This window comes from Homo sapiens, chromosome 19, assembly GCF_000001405.40.
Source record: "Homo sapiens chromosome 19, GRCh38.p14 Primary Assembly".
NCBI lineage: Eukaryota > Metazoa > Chordata > Mammalia > Primates > Hominidae > Homo > Homo sapiens.
In genome coordinates this window covers 20,773,283-20,792,811 of record NC_000019.10, presented here as the reverse complement: position 1 = coordinate 20,792,811, position 19,529 = coordinate 20,773,283, and the positions used below count along the sequence as shown (strand labels likewise).

General features: G+C 40.6%; 1 protein-coding gene and 1 pseudogene across 2 annotated transcripts in view; one reads left to right on the top strand and one right to left on the bottom strand.

Moving 5' to 3' along the window:
• ZNF66 (zinc finger protein 66) overlaps positions 1–16,508 on the bottom strand; it is a 33,692-nt gene extending 17,184 nt beyond the window's left edge. Inside the window, exons 1-2 of one of the 2 annotated variants that reach the window (XM_047439350.1) lie at positions 16,331–16,508; positions 174–300 (exon numbers count right to left, since the gene is read on the bottom strand). In XM_047439350.1, the coding sequence (XP_047295306.1) occupies positions 174–237 (64 nt within the window). In that variant the 5' untranslated portion in view covers positions 238–300; positions 16,331–16,508. The remainder of the gene's footprint in view (positions 1–173; positions 301–16,330) is intronic. The other variant, NM_001355197.2, reaches the window with a different exon arrangement.
• BNIP3P24 (BCL2 interacting protein 3 pseudogene 24) lies at positions 7,660–8,213 on the top strand (annotated as a pseudogene).
• Positions 16,509–19,529: the final 3,021 nt, after the last annotated feature.

Below are 19,529 nucleotides of genomic sequence, written 5' to 3'. Positions count from 1 at the left end.
ACAGGCATGAGGCACCAAAGTAATTCTTTTCTAAATGAACAAATTCTGAAGATTTTCTTGAAAAACTGGATCTGAAACTCTTTTATAAAAAGAATAAATTACTAACATTCTACAAAAAAGAGAAATAAAACAATTTGTGTATATTATGAGTTATGTATTAAAGTTTTTCTCACCAAGAAAGACCAGGTTTCTGTAGTTCTCTAACATCACATCCCTATATAAATTCCGCTGTGCCATGTCCAGGCAATGCCACTCCTCCAGAGAGAATTCTATGGCCACATCTCTAAATTGCAATGGCCCCTGAAAAATATACACACACACATTTTCACCAAGTGGTTATGGGCGGAATTTTTAATTTGACTTAAGGTGAAATGAGAGAGTAAAGATAACTGGTTCTGACTTATAGGACTGACTAAAGTTATCCTATAAAATAATTTTCAACACAGAAATATTCTCTAAAGTATTCTCTAACTCTGAGAAAATAAAGGAACATAAGATCCACAACATCAGTTCATATATTTTTCTAGAAAATAAACTATAAAATTAAGGGCATGAACACAAACATGTACATTTTTGAGTGCTATATTTACATCATATGGAATGAGTTGTGAATATTTTTCAGATGAAAAAGGCATGTTTTAATATGTACAATAAGCTGAAGACCTTGTTATGCAGGGTTTTTTTCCAGAAGATCTGGAATAAAGTCTGATTTTTTGAATTTCTAGCAAGCTAACCAATAATGTCAATGTTTTTGGCCCAAGAAGAATATTTTGTCAAACATCCAGTAAGTGGAAGAGCCTGTGTTTTTTCCAGTTTTTCTGGCCTGTAAACAAAGATAAGAGCCTTAATTTTCCAAAGAAAAATATGTAGAAAAAAAGAAAAAAGAACAGCTGCCAGATTAAATGATTGTTTGTTCACATCAGCTGCATAATGAAACTTAATAATGAAGAGAAAAATAATTAGCTATATAGTAAAAAAAAGTCTGTCAGAGACCTATTTAAGCAAGTGAATCATTAACCATTAACTGCACTAGGACAAATTTTTATGATGTGTTAATGCATACAGAAGAATACAGCATCACTATTGAAATATTCCTTTTTAAAAAAAGCAAATAAAATCTGAATGTAATCAAAAAGAATCATCAGTTTTATGCAAACCTCAAAATACAGATACCTCCTATGTTCTGTAATTTTTAGTAGTAATATTAAGCAGGCTTCATTAACACCCTAGAAAGCAGGTATCTCCTAATAATTTTTTTCAGAATTTCTGGGTAATAAATGCCATCACATTTAAATGAGCAATTTTCTTTTTTTTTTTTTTTTTTTTGAGATTAAGTCTCACTCTTGTCCCCCAGGCTGGAGTGCAATGGCACGATCTCAGCTCACTGCAACCTCCGCCTCCTGGGTTCAAGTGGTTCTCCTCCCTCAGCCTCCCAAGTAGCTGGGATTACAGGTGCCTGCCATCACGCCAGGCTAATTGTTATATTTTTAGTAGGGACGGGGTTCCACCATGTTGGCCAGGTTGGTCTCGAATTCCTGACTTCAGGCGATCTGCCTGCCTTGACCTCCCAAAGTGCTGGGATTACAGGCATGAGCCACCACGCCCGACCTAAATAAGCAATTCCTTAATCCTGTTCAGCATACAGCTAATGGAACACATGAATGGAGCCTCAACATTATATTTTCTCCATCTTTACTAAGGACCACAGTTTTCCCCAATAGAAATCTTGAGTATCCACATCTTTCCATGTTCAACAGCCACAAACGGAACATTTTTAATATTGCAGATCATAAATTCCTGTTGATAAATCTGCATGGCGTATAAGAAGTTATGATGTAGAGAATGAAGAGAAGGCTCTGGGATACAGGGAAGAAATACTTTTCAGACACGTTTGACTATCATAAGAATTTTAAGAAGTACTTAAACCAAACTCCTTAGGGAGGAAAAACACAAGTAGAGAAGTAAAAGTTTTCAAGTACTAGATACATGGCATTCCAGGAGGCAGAGTGGACATAGCTTTTCAGCTGAGGCATGTTTACCTGAAGCCCTTTTTTTTTCTCTTTCTGATCTCCTCCTTCTCTGGAATTCCTTCTCAGATGAAGATTCTCTGGACAAATTACCCCTGCATCTTGAGAATATGCCTTTAAAGGTGTCAGTGCCACATGTTTACCAGCTAGCATGGCATCAATTGGCAGAAAAAGACAGAAAAATCCATCCATTTCTATCCTTTAAAACAGAAGAGATTCAGGAGCAATGAGCTGCTCCATGAAGATGAAAATATAAGTTTCTCCTTTCCTGTCCTCAGGTGCCCTCCCCTGCCACAGACACCAGCAATTTCTGCCACAGTAATGGAAATATGCACCACACTGACCTGTCCCTACCAAACCCAAATAGAATAGGCCCTGTGACCACCCTTTAGTGCAAAGGTGGAATTTAACTCTCATGAATGTATTTTGAAGCCTTCATACTTGATTCTGGCCTCACCTTAGAGTCACATGAGGCCCTTCATTAAAACAACGTGGATGCTTCCACCCAGAACAATAAACAGAACCTGTGGGGAGGGCACAAGAGATTTCTGCAAATTGGCCATGTGATCCTAATGAGAACCCTGGGCTGATAATCACTAAGCTAAGCATTGCCTCTCAAGCTTTAACAAGCTTATAAATCACTTGGTAATTTTGGCCCCACTTTATGTAATGTAATTCTGCAGATTTGAAAAGGGTCTATGCATGGGTGTTTTAAACAAGTCCCCTGTCAAAGCTGATGTTGCTCCCCCTTGGCGCATTATTTACATTAGTTAGAGAAGCAGGCACAGCACAGGATCCCTTACACTTAGCACTCTTGTCACAACCAAATACTTCTGGTACAAACAAGGAGAGGAAACAGAAGGCAGCAATGTCTGAATAAGTCTGTATTTTAAAAACAACATGTACACATGTACTAATGCAATGTTTATTAAACAGATACTGTGTGCTCAAGAGCATGATACAGAGCACTGTGCTGGGCATAACACATTATGTGATTTAATTCTCGTAACATCCTGGGAGCTGGTACTAAGGGTTTAATAATTTCCAGGATTTCAAAAAAGGGCCCAGAATCTCTATTTCTTCTTCTGTTCCTCTGTCATCAATTTTTTTTAAATTATAAGGAATAAAAGCTAAATATAGACAGATGAAAGAGATACAGAAAGAAAGAGGTTAATGTAGTTTAGACAAAATTTTATTCTCTTTATATTTACTTTTTTGTGACTTATGGAGCAACTACTGGATCTGCAGGAATAGAAAACAAGTGTCTAAATATAATGTCTCTGCAAACACTGGTTTTAATAGAACATTTAAAATCTAGGACCCTAAAATACATACGTTATTTATCCCATTTATCTGTTTTTGGGTTTCAAGAAATTGTGAACACCAGCTCTAGAAAGGCAACAGGATTCACCAGCCAAAACTCTGATCTCTTCTAATCAGTTCTCTGAGGAAAGACTCCAAGGTATAGTCAGACCAAAATAAGGCCTCCAAAAAGGGTGAATCTGAACAGGTCTGAGGCAGGGTGGGGACTCTATGTAGAATTCTTCCCTCTATGCCACTGCAGTACTACCAGTATTCTTTTTTCAAAGGTTACCTAAAAGAAAAACTTAAATCCCAGAATTTCTGTAATTTTAATATTTTCTAGCCACTGCCCTGTCAACTTTATGCTACATACTAATACGCAATTTAAACAAATCCTTTAAGGTTTTCTAGGGTAACTTTTTTTTTTTTAAATAGATGAAGTCTCACTCTATTGCACAGGCTGGAGTGCAGTGGTGCCATTTCAGCTCACTACAAGCTCTGCCTCCTGGGTTCAAGTGATTCTTCTACCTCAGCCTCCTGAGTAGCTGAAACTACAGATGTGTGCCACCACGCCCAGCTAATTTTTGTATTATTAGTAGAGACGGCGTTTCACCACATTGGTCAGGCTGGTCTCAAACTCCTGACCTTGTGATCCACCTGCCTTAGACCCCCAAAGTGCTGAGATTACAAGCATGAACAACCATGCCCAGCCTTTCTAGGGTAATTTTATTAGAAAATAAATATGTACACTTAGCAAGGTAAAAGAAATAGAAATTATATGGCCAGGCGTGGTGGCTCACACCTGTAATCCCAGCGCTTCAGGAGGATGACGCGGGTAGATCACAACATCAGGAGTTTGAGACCAGTCTGACCAAGATGGTGAAACCCTGTCTCTACTAAAAATGCAAAAATTGGCTGGGCATGGTGGCCAGCAACTGTAATGCCAGCTACTCAGGAGGCTGAAGCAGGAGAATCACTTGAACCAGGGTGGCAGAAGTTGCAGTGAGCCAAGATCACACCACTGTACTCCAGCCTGGGTGACACAGACTCCGTCTCAAAATAAAAATTATAATAATCCTTCTGTTCATAAATATGCCTTGAGATGTAGACATCAGAAGTCACAATATAAACAAAGTAGACTAAATAAAGCCCAAGATTTTGGACACGTGTTTATTGTACCAACCATATGATGCATAATTATTTATCCAGTTGCTAGTCTAGACTAAACATTTCTGGACTGTAGGAACCATGACTGCTTCATGGTTTTTTAATGGCTATATGAAATTGAAGCAACTAGTTTATCTGTTTGAGTCTCCAGATCTCCTCCTTCTTTATCATCCAAGTAACAGGAAACTGGAGAAACTCTCATCTGGGTAGCAACCAAAGATACCTCTTGTATGAGGGGATGAAAAAACACAGGATGACTCATTTCTCTTACACTGAGACAGAAGCAGAATTAACCACTCTTGTCAGTCTAACACAATTCTGCTCTGAACATCCTCAAATACCTCAAAGACACCTAGGTGATTTTGAGGGAATTCCCAGTGACCCTGGGCTGATGGCCCAATGATCAACCAGGCTGGAGAGACTCAGGCTGATTCTAAATAGAAAATGGAACTGCCCTGGTGGAACTCCAGAACCTGGAACACCCATTCTGATTTGCTAGCTCATGGGTAAAGGAAATAACAAAAATAACTCTTCTCCAGTATTCCACTTTACAGGTAATTATAATTGTGATCATGGCTCTGGATACTTTGTGGCCTTGATCTCTCATGCCTAAGATGCTTATTTACACTTACAAATTCTGCCATCAGATTCTATTTCCTCCTGGAGCCTCTCACATCACTGTAGCAGGTCAATGAACAAGATGTGAAAAATCTCAAAGAGCCACACTCCCAAAATGGGGCTGTAAGATGTTTAGGTTGACATCTCACAACGCAGAAAATGCCTTTTGTTAGTTTTCTGTACATTTTCTATCCAAAGTCCAGGCTTTTTTGTAAATCCCAGGCAGAGGCCAGACCTTAATTGCAGATTCTAGGTAGGATCAACCTGGCTCTGCATCCTTTGATGTTACAGCAAGTGGAATACAATCTAAGTAGAGATCCCCTCATGAAGGCTGCTCTAGCACATTCTAAATGATAAGTCTATATATATATTAAAAAAGGCTGACACAACATGAACATAAGTAGACAGTTTATTTGGGTCAAGTTTAAGGATCATAACCTGGGAGCAAAGATTCAAGTTGCCTGGAATCTACACTTTAATTAGCAGCAATTACAAGAGGATTTGTAAAGACAACAACAGAGGGACAGAGAGTGGGCTGACACAAAGTTGTTTTTCAGAAATTTTTATTTACAGAAATAGCATTGATTATTAATTAGATATATATCATAATGGTTTAGGGTATAAAATATAGTGTCCAGGCCAGGCTCAGTGGCTCAAGCCTGTAATCCCAGCACTTTGGGAGGCCGAGGTGGGCAGATCACTTGAGGTCAGAAGTTCAAGACCAGCCTGACCAACATGGAGAAATCCCATCTCTACTAAAAATACAAAATTAGCTGGTCATAGTGGCATATGTCTGTAATCCCAGCTACTGGGGAGGCTGAGACAGAAGAACTGCTTTAACCCAGGAGGCAGAGGTTGCAGGGAGCCAAGATTGTGCCATTGCACTCAGCCTGGGCAACAAGATTGAAACTCCATCTCAAAAACAAACAAACAAAAATATAGTGTCCAATGTGGCATTATTAGTGTCATTTATAGCTACTTGTGCCAATAGGGAACAGTTTCAAGAGATTAATACATAGTTAATAGGATAAAGATGTAACTGCACTTTTATTTTAATGTCTCTCTGAGTTTGATAACCAAAAGGACTTGCATTTTTCAGATAAAAGTTTTTTATTTCTCAAATCTCATGACCTGGATTCAAAATTTGAAGCTGCAGATTTATGGCCTGAATGGCTGGAGTAGCAGCAGGTATTACCTGTACGTTTGTGGGCATTTTGGCAAGAGGAGGAAGAAGAAAGTGGAGATTCTCATGTCTCTATGTCTACTCAATGCACACATGTTACTCTGATTGGGTTTCTGGGCTCCATATTCTCTGAATCAGTTTCAGTCTGAAGATACAAGAGTCAGTGAAAGAGGTAAAATGATTGATTGCTGCCCGTGAAGTTTGTAGAAATTTGATCTAGCCTCTCTAGAAGTGATTGTAGAGAACTCTAGATACCAAATAGGCAGAGACACAATTCTGCCTGCATATTTAGGGGACAGCGTGCACTTTGCTGCACAAGTATAAGTTGACTGGAAGCCTGAGAGGGAAAGTCCCCTCTAGAGTAAATTCTGGTTGGCACCTTATGTGTTTATATCACATCTGGTAATTCTAGACAGTGTTTGGAAACAATAATTAAAAGAAAAATTGGGCTGGGAGTAGTGACTCACACCTGTAATCCCAGGACTAGGACTCTGGGAGGCTGAGGTGGGCAGATCAACTGAGGTCAGGAGTTTGAGACCAGCTTAGCCAACACAGTGAAACCCCATCTTTACTAACAACATGAAAATGAGCCCAGCACAGTGGCAGGTGCCTGTAATCCCAGCTACTCAGGAGGCTGAGGCAGGAGAGTCACTTGAACCCGGGAGCTGTAGGTTGCAGTGAGCTGAGATCATGCCACTACACTCAGCCTTGGTGACAGAGTGAGACCTCTATCTCAAAAAACAAACAAACAAACAAACAAAAACAGAAAAAGAAGAAAAATTTTCTCCAGCCCCAGAGAAGCTCCAGCCCCAGAAAAAGAAAATGGTTTCTTCAGCCCCAGAGAAAGAAAATGGCTTTCTTATAAAATTAAACTTGAAAGTGACATACATCATGGTCAATATGTTTAACAGAATACAAAGATGGAAAGATGGTCACCATAATTAGTCCACAAGTAGAAGAATTTATAGCACCATGTCACACATAGTTCATCCTAAAATCACCTGGAGATGGAATAGGGCATCTGGGTATGCTAAATGCTTATATCCAATGACAAATAAACTTTCCACATCTTCAGAACAGGAGGTAGTTTAGCAGCTTGAAGCCCAGTGGCTGCTGAAGGTAGGCTTTCACTCTGCTACAAAAATGGTTGAATAGGATTCTCTCTTTGGCTATTTACATTTTAGAGCAGTGGCTCTGTACTCCCTGGCACTGGGCTACAGCACTCCTGCTTGCTTTCCCCTGGTTGCTGGTCTCCTCTCTTGACCTCTACTATCTGCCACTGAGGCACAGCCCAGAGCACAGCTCACATTTTATGTGAACTACATTTGCCACAGCAACACTCTAATGTCACAACAGAGAGTGAGGCCTGAGCTGCAGGAGGAGAGCCTGCAGGCCTCCTGGGTAGAATCATATCTTCACAATAATGAAACTGGGAGCAGTGTTTCAGCCTCACTTTCTACTTATAATGGTGACATGGAAAAAATATTGAATTTCCAACATGAGTCCAGATAGAGATAACATCAGAAGTTTTCACTGTGACAACCCACCTCATTCAGACACCACGGGATACTAGTAAGGCTTCTGAAACAGACAAAGCATTGGAGAGAAAAACAGATCTCCCTCTGAGCAAGATAATTTTGAGAGAAGGAAGTTAAAAAGATCTTAAGAAAAAGGTCAGATTAGATATAAGATTGTTAAGTCAGCCAGAAAATATTCTCCTAAAATAAATTTCTCTCGAAACACTCAAAGTGTATAGCTACTCTCACCATGAGAAACATGAGCATTAGGAGGGTGCAGATTTTCAGAAAGAATAATTTTATAAAGTTTCTTTTCCATCTCTGCTGCTGTCTCATCTTCTAGCCATTGAATGGGGGTTCTATATTGAAATACATCTGACAACTTCAAACAACACTTTTTGATGAAGAAATAGAATCTGATTGTGTTCGTATAGTGGAATATATTAGAACTTGCAACATAGCTAACTGAAGAGGTATTATGGTGTTGGGGTGGCCACATCACCTGTCTTTATCTGTCCTGTAATAGGAACATACCAATTTAGTGAAATAAAAGATACCTAAATTGTGTTTACTCATTGTTATTCCTATTGAATAAAGTAATAAATATGTCAGACAAATATCTACTGTAATAATTTGGTAGTAAATTTTCTCTGGCTATTAGATATAAATATCTAAGTATGAATAATTTTAATGAACGTCATAGTATATGTACCATTTTTAAAAACTGTAACTATACTTCAGTTAAAACACTTTATATTTCAAAAGTATAAATTACAATATTAAAATAACCATTTAAGTGATTCAAAGTAAGTATTGTGGCTTTATATTCATAATATTGTAGAAAATACTGCTTATGGCTCACCCCTGTAATCCCAGCAACTTGAGGCTGAGATGGGTAGATCACTTGAGGTCAGGAGTTCAAGATCAAGCTGGACAACATGGTGAGACCCTATCTTTACTAAAAATACAAAAACTTAGCCAGGCATGGTGGTGTGCACTTGTAATCCCAGCTACTCAGGAGGCTGAGGCAGGAGAATCACTTGAATCTGGGAGGCAGCAGTTGCAGTCAGCTGAGATCACGCCACTGCACTCCAGCCTGGGAAACAGAGTGAGAGTCTGTCTCAAAAAAGAGGAAACACTGTTTAATTTATATGAATGCAGTTTGTCTACAAACACTAAACATAACTATGCTAATTGTTCTGAAGTAATAAATAGAAAACAAGGTACAACTACAGATTCCACTGTTGAGTTCATGCATTGAACTGTTCTTGCATTTGCAGTATTAGTACTTCAGCCTGCAAATATTGGATAATTACCTTGGATAATCAGGTTTCTGTCAAAGAAACTTAGTATCTTTTAGTCTTTATCATTCTGTATTGCTAAATTTAATTTTATCTTTGTGCTATGCTTCTGTGTGCTCTTAAATGAGTTTTAACTAAACAAATCTGTGTCTACCTTAAAGGACTAAAAATGAAAAAAATAAACTTTTCAGAAGCAAAAACAAAGCAATAAATCTGAAGTACCAGATAAAGATAATCTGGAGTCATAAAAAATGAAAAAGGTTTATTTAGCTGTTAATATGATTTACATATATTTCAAAAAAGCAGAGAAAAATATCTACATATAATCTAAATCCCTTAAGAACAGACAGAATAGCAAAATTTGTTTTGGAACTTTTTAAATAGTTTTGAACTCTTGGACATCTGAATTTTTCACACTGTATGCACTTCAAAGAATGTTTATGGGGAAAAAGGAGAAGAGAGAAAGATGTTATAAAAAATCCACGAGTGCACAAGACCAATGCAACAGAATAGAGAGCCCAGAAATAATGCCACCCTCCTATAACCATCAGATTTTTGACAAAGCTGACAAGAGGAATGCAGCAAGAATTCTCTATTTAACAAATGGTGCTAAAATAACTACCTAGCACTATGTAGAAGACTGAAACTAGATCCCTTCATTACACCATATACAAAAATCAACTCAAGATAAATTAAACACTTAAATGTAAACTTAAAATTATAAGAAAATCTGCACGATAACCTAAGAAACACCATTCTAGACACAGAAACTGGCAAAGACTTCATGATGAAGCTACCAAAAGCAATTGCAACAAAAGCAAAAATTGACAAATGGAACTTCTTCACAGCAAAGGAAACTATCAACAGAGGAAAAAGACAACCTACAGAATGAAAGAAAATATTTGCAAACTTTGCCTCTGACAAAGGTCTAATATCCAGAATTTATTAAAAACTTATACAAGTTTAAAAGAAAAAACCAAACAACTTCATTAAATTGTAGGCAAAAACACAGATTCTTTTCAAAAGAAGATATACATGTGGCTAACAAGCATATGAAAAAAATGCTCATTACTAATCACTAGAGAAATTAAAAGAAAAACCACAATGAGATACCACCTCACACCAGTCAGAATGGCTATTTTTAAAAAGTCAAAAAATAACAGATGCTGGCAAGGTTGCAGAGAAAACAGAATGCTTATACTCTTCTGGTGGGAGTGTAAATTAGTTTAACAATTGTAAAAAGCAGTGTGGCGGTTCCTCACAGAACTAATAACAGAATTATCATTTGACCCAGAAATCTCAAAATTGGGTATATACCCAAGGAAATATAAATTATTATATTATAAAGACACATCCACATGCATGTTCACTGCAGCACTATTCACAATAGCAAAGACAAGGACAGGCCCTAAATGCCTATCAATGGTAGACTGGGTAAAGAAAATATGGTATGGTCAGAAGCGGTGGCCCATGCCTGTAATTCCAGCACTTTGGGAGGCCAAGGCAGGTGAACTGCCTGAACTTAGAAGTTTGAGAACAGCCTGGGCAACATGGCAAAATCCTGTCTCCACGGAAAATACAAAAAGAAAATTTGGCCAGGTGTGGTAACGCCCAGGTGTAGTCCTAGCTTCTTGGGAAGATGAGGTAGGAGAGAATTGCTTTAGCCTGGGAGGTTGAGGTTAAAGTAAGCCAATATCACGCCATGGCACTCTGGCCTGGGCAATAAGTGAGACTCTGTCTCCAACTATAAAATAAAATAAAAGATTTAGTCAAAACAAAATATGGTACGTAAACATCATGGAATACTCTGTGGCCATTAAAAAAAAATCACGTCCTTTGCAATAACATCAATGAAGCTGGACACTATTTTTCTTAGAAAACAAATGCAGAGGCCTGGCGCAGTGCTCACACCTGTAATCCCAGCGCTTTGGGAGGCCGAGGTGGGTTGATCACTTGAGGTTAGGAGTTGGAGACCAGCCTGCCCAACATGGAGAAACTCCATCTCTATTAAAAATACAAAATTAGCTGGGCATGGTGGAATGCACCTGTAATCCCAGCTACTCATGAGGCTGAGGCAGGAGAATCACTTGAACCGGGAGGTGGAAGTTGAGGTGAGCCTACATCACACCATTGCACTCCAGCCTGGGCAACAAGAGTAAAACTCCGTCTCCAAAAAAAAAAAAGATAAAATAATGCAGAAACAGAAAACCAAATGAATGTACTATCATTTATAAGTAAGAGCTAAATAATAAGAACACACGAACACAAAGAGGAGAACAACAGACACTGAGGCCTAGTTGAGGGTGGAGGGTGGGAGAACTCAGAGGATCAGAAAACATACCTGTTTGGTGCTATGCTTAGTACGTAAGTTAACAAAATAATCTGCACACAAAACCCCCATGACATAATTTTACCTGTAAAAGAAACCCACGTGTACCCCGAATCAAAAATAAAAGCTAAAATAAAAAATTAAATCCCTGGGCAGGAGAGAGTGCAATGCAGGTGAGAGGACTGATTTTTGCTGCAGATAGTGGTCCCAATGCAGCCATACTCTGATTTATTACTGTGTGCAGGCAGATGAGATTATGAACAGCTGATCCAAAATGGTAGGTTGGTGGAGAAAACTGGTTGCTGCTGCAGATTTAGCATCTGTGGATGGGGATATGCCAGGAGACTTGCAGAGACTTGTGGGTTCTTGGCAAGAAACACTAGGGTCAAAAATGCTGTGGTGAAGTTTCTGAGGGTGGTGCCTAGTCCTGGGAGGAGTGTGGACGTGTCAATGTCTAGTGTGTGTGTTTGTGAGTGGGTGGGAATCTTGTGGTGGCAGCTGTGGGAAAAGGGGGTCTGTAATCAGAGCTCCTGTCCTCTAAGTTTTCAGTCCTCTGTCACCCTGGGAGAAGACCTGAATCACAGGACAATGGGCAGTGTGACAGCCTGTGTATGGGAAAGCAGAGCTCCCATTCCCAAACACCTAGTTTTATTCCAGGCCAGGCCTCTGTGATATCTTTTTTCTGGCACCAAATCTGTAGAGTTAGCTGAACATTAAACAATTCTCCAACACCAACTTATTGTCTAACATTTGAATTCTGACACCACCCAGAGTCAACACAGACCCTGATTCAGGGCTTGGTCCTACAACACTGTCCTCACTGCAGATGCCAGTCAAAAACCCCATGGGCCCATCTATGCTTCTGAGCTACTGTTTAAAAACTTGTTAGTCCCATAACCTCTCTGAATTTTAATAATCTGGTAGAGCTACTCACAGAACTTAGCAAAACACTGTAGTTATGTTTACCAGTTTAATATGTGAGACGCAGCCCAGGAAAAGCCAAATGGGAGAAATGCATAGAACAAAGAAAAGAAATGGGGAAAGATGAAACACATAGATAATACTGGAAAATGTTTGTGATTAATAAAATTCTCCATTCTTTGTGTGCTCCAGGAACAATTTATGCAAACAAACACTCTTCCCATTATGACTAAGATAGTGCTCTCTTTTCTTACCTATCACACAGGCAGACACACGCTCTGCACATTTTCTCCTTTTTCTCATTAAAAAAACAGCTGAATTTGTCTTCAGTGCTCAAAATAATTTCTTCACTTTGTCACCCAGGCTGGAGTGCAGTGATGCGATCTTGGCTAACAGCAACCTCCACCTCCTGGGTTCAAGCAATTATCCTGCCTCAGCCTCCCAAGTAGCTGGGATTACAGGTGCCCATCACCACACCTGGCGAATTTTTGTTGTTTTGGTGTTTTTTTTTTTTTTTTGAGACAGAGTTTCACTCTCGTTGCCCAGGCTGGAGTGCACTGGTGCAATCTCAGCTCAGTACAACATTTACCTCCCGAGTTCAAGCGATTCTCCTGCCTCAGCCTCCCGAGTAGATGGGATTACAGGCATGCACCACCACACCTGTTGATTTTTTTTTTTTTTTTGTAGTGATGGGATTTCTCCATGTTGGTCAGGCTGGTCTTAAACTCCCAACCTCAGGTGATCCGCCCACCTCAGCCTTCCAGTAATTTTTGTATTTTTAGTAGAGACAGGATTTCATCATGTTGGCCAGGCTGGTCTCAAACACCTGTCCTCAGGTGATCCGACTGCCTCAGACTCCCAAAGTGTTGAGATCACAGGCATGAGCCACTGGGCCCGGACTAAAATAAAATATTTCTTAATCATACTTTTCTTAAGTTTATTTCCCTCCCTCAGGCTCCTGAACTTTGAGCTACCCTCAGTCTGAGTCAACATACAACCCCATTTTACATTCCTCCTAAGAACATGCTGATTTCAGGGTAAGACATCCTCTGATCTAAAATCTGACTTTTTCACTCTCCATTTGCCATTCACCTCCCACCTCCTTTCTTATCTTGTTTACCTCTCCCTAAAAAAGAAAGCCCTTTTCTGCCTACATCTTTGCAAGCCATAAAGATCTTATATTTAGTTGGTACTTTCTCCTGTTGCAATAATTTTTTGGAATTCATTTTTTTTTTACATAAATCTAATGTTTTTATTTTACAAAGTACAGAAAGTGCCACAAAACATAACGACTGCATCATCAGTAAGACCCTCTCAGTTTCCTTTCATCTTAACCTCAACTGCATCTGCCTGTGGGACCCCAGCTTTCCAGGGCTCTGTAGCTTCTCTCAGGATAAAGGCTCCTTCTATGGCTGGGGTGAGCAGGCTGGACACCTGCACGGGAGGCTCCCCAGAAAAAACTAACTGAGTCTTCAATATCCAGTTGCAGGCTTAATTATTAGCCTTAGCTTGGAGTCACTAGGTTCAAGCTTTAATTTCCATGTCAGAATTACTCACTTAGTTTTTGAAACTATGTGTTTGAAAAATCCAGGGAAATTACTCAAACGCAGTGTTTACATAAGGGAAGGAAATTTTAAGGTTCTTACTTTTTTTTTTTTTTTTTTGAGACGAAGTCTCACTCTGTGGCCCAGGCTGGAGTTCAGTGGCATGATCTCGGCTCACTGCAACCTCCACCTCCCGGGTTCAAGACATTCTTGTTCCTCAGCCTCCCAAGTAGCTGGGAATACAGGCATATGCCACCACACCTGGCTAACTTTTGTATTTTTAGTAGAGATGAGTTTCACCATGTTGGGCAGGCTGGTCTCAAATTCCTGACCTCAAGTAATCAACCTGTCTAGGCCTCCCAAAGTGCTGAAACTACAGGCATGAGCCACTGCACCTGGCTAAGATGCTTGCATTTTATACCCCTATAAGAAAAGCATATATATCTACTTCTTTCAGACAATGTATGTATTATTTTATTATTTATCTTAAAAATAATGCAGTAGGCCGGGCACTGTGGCTCACGCCTCTAATCCCAACACTTTGGAAGGCCAAGGTGGGTAGATCACGAGGTCAGAAGATTGAGAACATTTTGGCCAACATGGTGAAACCCTGTCTCTACTAAAAACACAAAAAAATTGGCTGGACGTGGTGACACACACCTGTAATCCCAGCTACTTGGGAGGCTGAGGCAGGAGAACTGCTTGAACCTGGGAGGCAGAGGTTGCGTGAGCCGAGATCACGCCACTGCACTCCAACCTGGTGACGGAGTGAGACTCTGTTTCAAAAAAATAAGTAAATAAATAAAATAATGTAGTAAAAAATTAGTCATATGGGAACACTTCTAGAAGGTACCATGTTTCATCACTTAAAATTTAGCATTTAACTCAGAAATCAAAATAAAAGGATATAGAAAAAATTTACCCTGCAAAAAGAGGAACTAATGTGTTGATGAATCCATGTAACTCCTCAATTATCTACCACATTTTCCTGTGGAAATATATTCATTGTCTACAGCCAAAATGGAAGAGAGATTTTCCCTATATTTTTCCTTGGTAACTAGCATTCCTGGCAAACATGGTGAAACCTCATCTCTACTAAAAATATGAAAACTAGCTGGGAGTGGTGGCGCTTGCCTGTAGTCCCAACTACTGGAGAGGCTGAAGCAGGAGAATCGCTTGAACCCATGAGGTGGAGGTTGCAGTGAGCCAAGATCTGACACTGCACTCTAGCCTGGCGACAGAGCAAGACTCCGTCTCAAAAAATAATAATAATAATAATAATTAATTGAGGAACATGGGGGACACTTGAGGCCCTGCTTGGGACACATGTGAAAAATGCCAGGGAAAGTCAGTCCCCTGTGGGATGTGAAAATAATTAAGTGGCAGGCAATTAGACTGAAGAGGCTCTAGTCCCCGGATTTCTATTTCTAAAAAAAAAAAAAAAAAAAAATCTAAGCTCAAGTGCATTTTTTGGCAAATTACTACATTAGGGGAAACAAAATTCAGGCTTCAGCAACTATAAACTGCCAATTAAGCTCTAATTACATAACCAGGAAATTTCCACCTTGATTGTACAAATTAAGAAACTACATTACTAAACCTAACAAATTATTGAATTTGGTTTTCCTCATCATGCATTTTATAAATGTCTTTTCTTCAAGCCTCTCCCATGGACCACAAACTACAAACTATAGCTGGGTGCTCTACAATTCTTGAATCACTCTTTGATTAAATTGTTTGATATTTTTGCAGTGACTCCCATAATTTTTTTTTTTTTTTTTTTTTTTTAGACAAGAGTCTTGCTCTGTCGCCCAGGCTGGAGTGCAGTGGCAGGATTTCAGCTCACTGCAACCTCCGCCTCCCGGGTTCAAGCGATTCTCTCACTTCTGCCTCCCGAGAAGCTGGGACTACAGACATTCGCCAACATATCCACCTAATTTTTGTATTTTTAGTAGACAAGGGGTTTCCCCATTTTGGTCAGTCTGGTCTTCAACTCCTGACCTCAAGTGATCCGCCCGCCTCGGCCTCCCAACGTGCGGGGATTACAGGCTTGAACGACCGCGCCCGGCCCCATACAATTTTAATAGCAGAAAAGAGAAACTGTGAACCCCACAGACCAAAGCTCTTCCCATTCATGAACCCGCACCGCGAGTCAGCATTCTCCCCTGAAGACCCTCCGGTGGTCCCTGCACAATCTGGGAGAGACACGGCACTGCGGGTGCAGAGCTGCCCACAGAGCGCTCCAGGCCAGGGGCACAGTCACTGCGCGGGGAAGCGACAGGACGCCCGGGGGCCAGGCTGTCAGCGTAGCCGCCATCTTATGGCTGAATGGGACTGAGGCAGAGCTGGGTAAGGAGAATTCGGGGTGCAGATTGTGGAGCTGACTGAGGGGAGGCCTGAGTCCCGCCACAGACACTTCACCTCTCTCGGGATGCTGGACCGGCACTCTCACCATTTCTAGGCTTCCAGGGGGTCCTGGCGTCTTAGCTGTGGATCTCCCAATACCTGCAGGACACAGGGCCACAGAGGCTGGGCCTCTAGGAGAAGAAGACAGAGAGCAGTGAACAGACGACCTGGAGCTCCAGCTGCAGGGAGAGACAAAGACCCCGCCAAATCCGGAAGCCGTCCTGTTCATTCCAGCTGCGTGCCTGATTGGACGGTTTCCAGCCCAGCGCCTCTGATTGGCTAATGCTTAAGGTCCCGCCCCCTCAGACACTGAGTGACAGAAGATGTGATCAGCTGCTGGGCGGAGTGAAGAAAAGAGTGACAGCCTAAGCTGCAGCCTTTTCAGGCAGGGCTTCCTCCCAGAGCTGAGCCTGGTCCATGCCAGAGCATGGGAACATTTTATCTCTTTTTTACTCTCTGTCTTGTTGAATGTATTCAAAGGTGAACAGAAGTATTTTGCTGTCATATTAATAATACATAAAATTTTTGTTCAAGAGAAAATCAGCTTTTACTTTGGTAATAGTGTATTAACGATTAAAGCTAATTTTAATAAAACCTTATAAATAAATCAAATTTGTCATTTTTGACCACTCCAGATTTACATATATATTTTGTAATCCCTGTAATTTTTTTATCTATTTATATTTTATTTTTATCCACATTCTTCTTATTTTTTCAACTTGAAACAACCTTTAAGTAATTTCAAACTGCTATAAGAGATAGAAATAATTTAGGGTCAGGCACAGGTAGCTCATGCCAGTAATCCCAACACTTTGGGAGGCCAAGGTGGGTGGATCACTTGAGGTCAGGAGTTCAAGACTAGCCTGGCCAACATGGTGAAACCCCATCTCTACTCACAATGTAAAAAATTAGCTGGGTATGGTGGTGCACATCTGTGGTCCCAGCTACTCCGGAGGCTGAGGCAGGAGAATCACTTGAACCCAGGAGGTGGAGGTTATGTAACAGCCCAAGGGGTTCATTTTGCCCTTTGCCTAGACAGAGCCAATTCATGAAGACAGGAGAATTTATGGAGGAAAAGTTAAATGTTAAATTTGAACTCAATTGAACGTGGACACAATGGTCACCAAGTCCCAGAACAGGTCCTGGTTGTGAGCCCCTGAGGTGTTCATCCAGAGCTGTATCAAAGAAATGTCTATTTCATTCTATTACTATACATTAGTTGTTGAAAAACAATAGACAATCACAAAAACAACTTGACCCTTTTGTGTTCCGTGAGGCAAGTCCCAAATGGCCCTCCTCACTGGGCCTTATGCCAAACAACTCGTTACAAAAGAGCTAGGGTCCCAGACCACCCTGAAGCTTCATGAGACTCCTTGTCTGTGCATGAATGGGTGGCCGACTCTGGAGCCTGGGCTGTTTCTTCCTACTCAGTTGGTAATCCTCCATAGTCTAGTGAGGGTAAATATATATATATATCTTTTCCCATCTCCTCTTCTTACTGCAATTTGCTTATTATATCAATCTGTGTATTATATTTATTTGCTTATTATATCATTTGCTTATTATATCATTAGTTTATTCTGTCTGCATTGATATTGATGTGGGTTAAAGCTTGTTTACCATTAAAGTTATTGTATGTATGTCTTTTCTTCTCCTCTCCCACGTTTCCCATACAGAACATTTTTGGCATCACAAACAGGATTTGAAAACAAAAGTGGGCCCCTTTTTGACCAGAAGGATAGGGCTGGAGGCTCAAGGATTTCCCATATCCTGAGATGGGATCACTCCCAGTTCTCCTTCTTTGTGATTGAATGGTTCAGGGGAACTGGCCTTTGTGGGAATTGGGAATCTAAATTAGTGCAATTTAAACCTTTGACTGTGCGTGAAGTGCTGCAGGGGATTCCAGTCACCAAAGGAGATGCTGAGGGAATCTCACAAAGTGGATAGTGTTTGATTGCTGCTTATAAGTTAATGTGTCAAGATAGGGGCTGGTTGCTACAAGAGAAATATAAGCTGGAAAAGGAAAATGCTAATCTGACTTCCGGACTGGCCCTGGCCCAATGCCAGTCAATGTCTTGACTGATCAGGCTCAAAGCTATCAGCCTATTGCTGAAAAAAGCAGCTGTCCAGGTGGCCCAATCAGGGTAAAACTGAAGAACTAGTCAGCCGGGGCTTAGAGCATGTAAAAACCCAGTTCCTATCTCAAAAATGGGAAATTAAGCCTAGTAAAATTAAGGATCCGCACAAAGTGTAAAATTCTTTGGCATCCTATGGAATGCAAAGAAACAGTCCACTTCACCAAAGGCTAAGGCTAAAATACTATAATTTGCAACCCCTACCACTAAGAAGGAGGCCCAGAAATGTATTGACTTGTTTGGATTCTGAACACATCATATTCCTTACTTGGGTAACATTTTACAACATCTGAATGCAGCCACTAGAAAAAGGTATGACTCTCACTGTGGAGAGAAAGACAGCATGGCTTTTGAACAAGCTAAACAAGCAGTGCAACTGGCCCTGGATCTATGGCCTATATGGGATGGGCCTGATGAACTGCGAGTAACTGTCGTAGATCAACATGCTAATTGGAGCCTTAGGCAGAAACAAGATGGAAAGAGGGTACTTTTCATGTTTTGGACCCAGAAACTGCCAGAGGCTGGAAAAGCTTATTCCTCTTTTGAGAAGCAATTGTTAGCTTGCTATTGAGCTTTGCTGGAAATGGAACACCTCTGCTTCAACCACGATGTCTTTATGAGGCCTGAAATTTCTATTATGACTTTGGTCATGAGTTCCCCCAAAACCCACCAGATAGGGCATGCCCAGAAAGTAGCATCATAAAATGGAAATGGGACATACAAAACCAGGCTAAGCCAAAATCATAGGGGCTATCACTTTTACATGAGGATGTGGAAAACCTGCGAGCTCAGGAAACAACCAAGCAAGTCCTGCAGATAGGGAAAGAAACACCCCCCACACACACACATCAAATGGGGCAAATCCTTTAAAGAACTAAGCCCAGAGGATCAGAAACATGCTTGGTTTACTGATGGATCCACCAAATACTTTGGTGGGACCCAATGCTGGAGGGCTGTGGCTTATAATCCTGTTAAAAACATAAGCATTTCTGATGAAGGAAGGGGTGGGAGCAGCCAGTTAGCTGAACTAGTAGTCGTTTCTCCGAGCTATTCAGGAGGAGGCCAGAGGGATTTGTTAC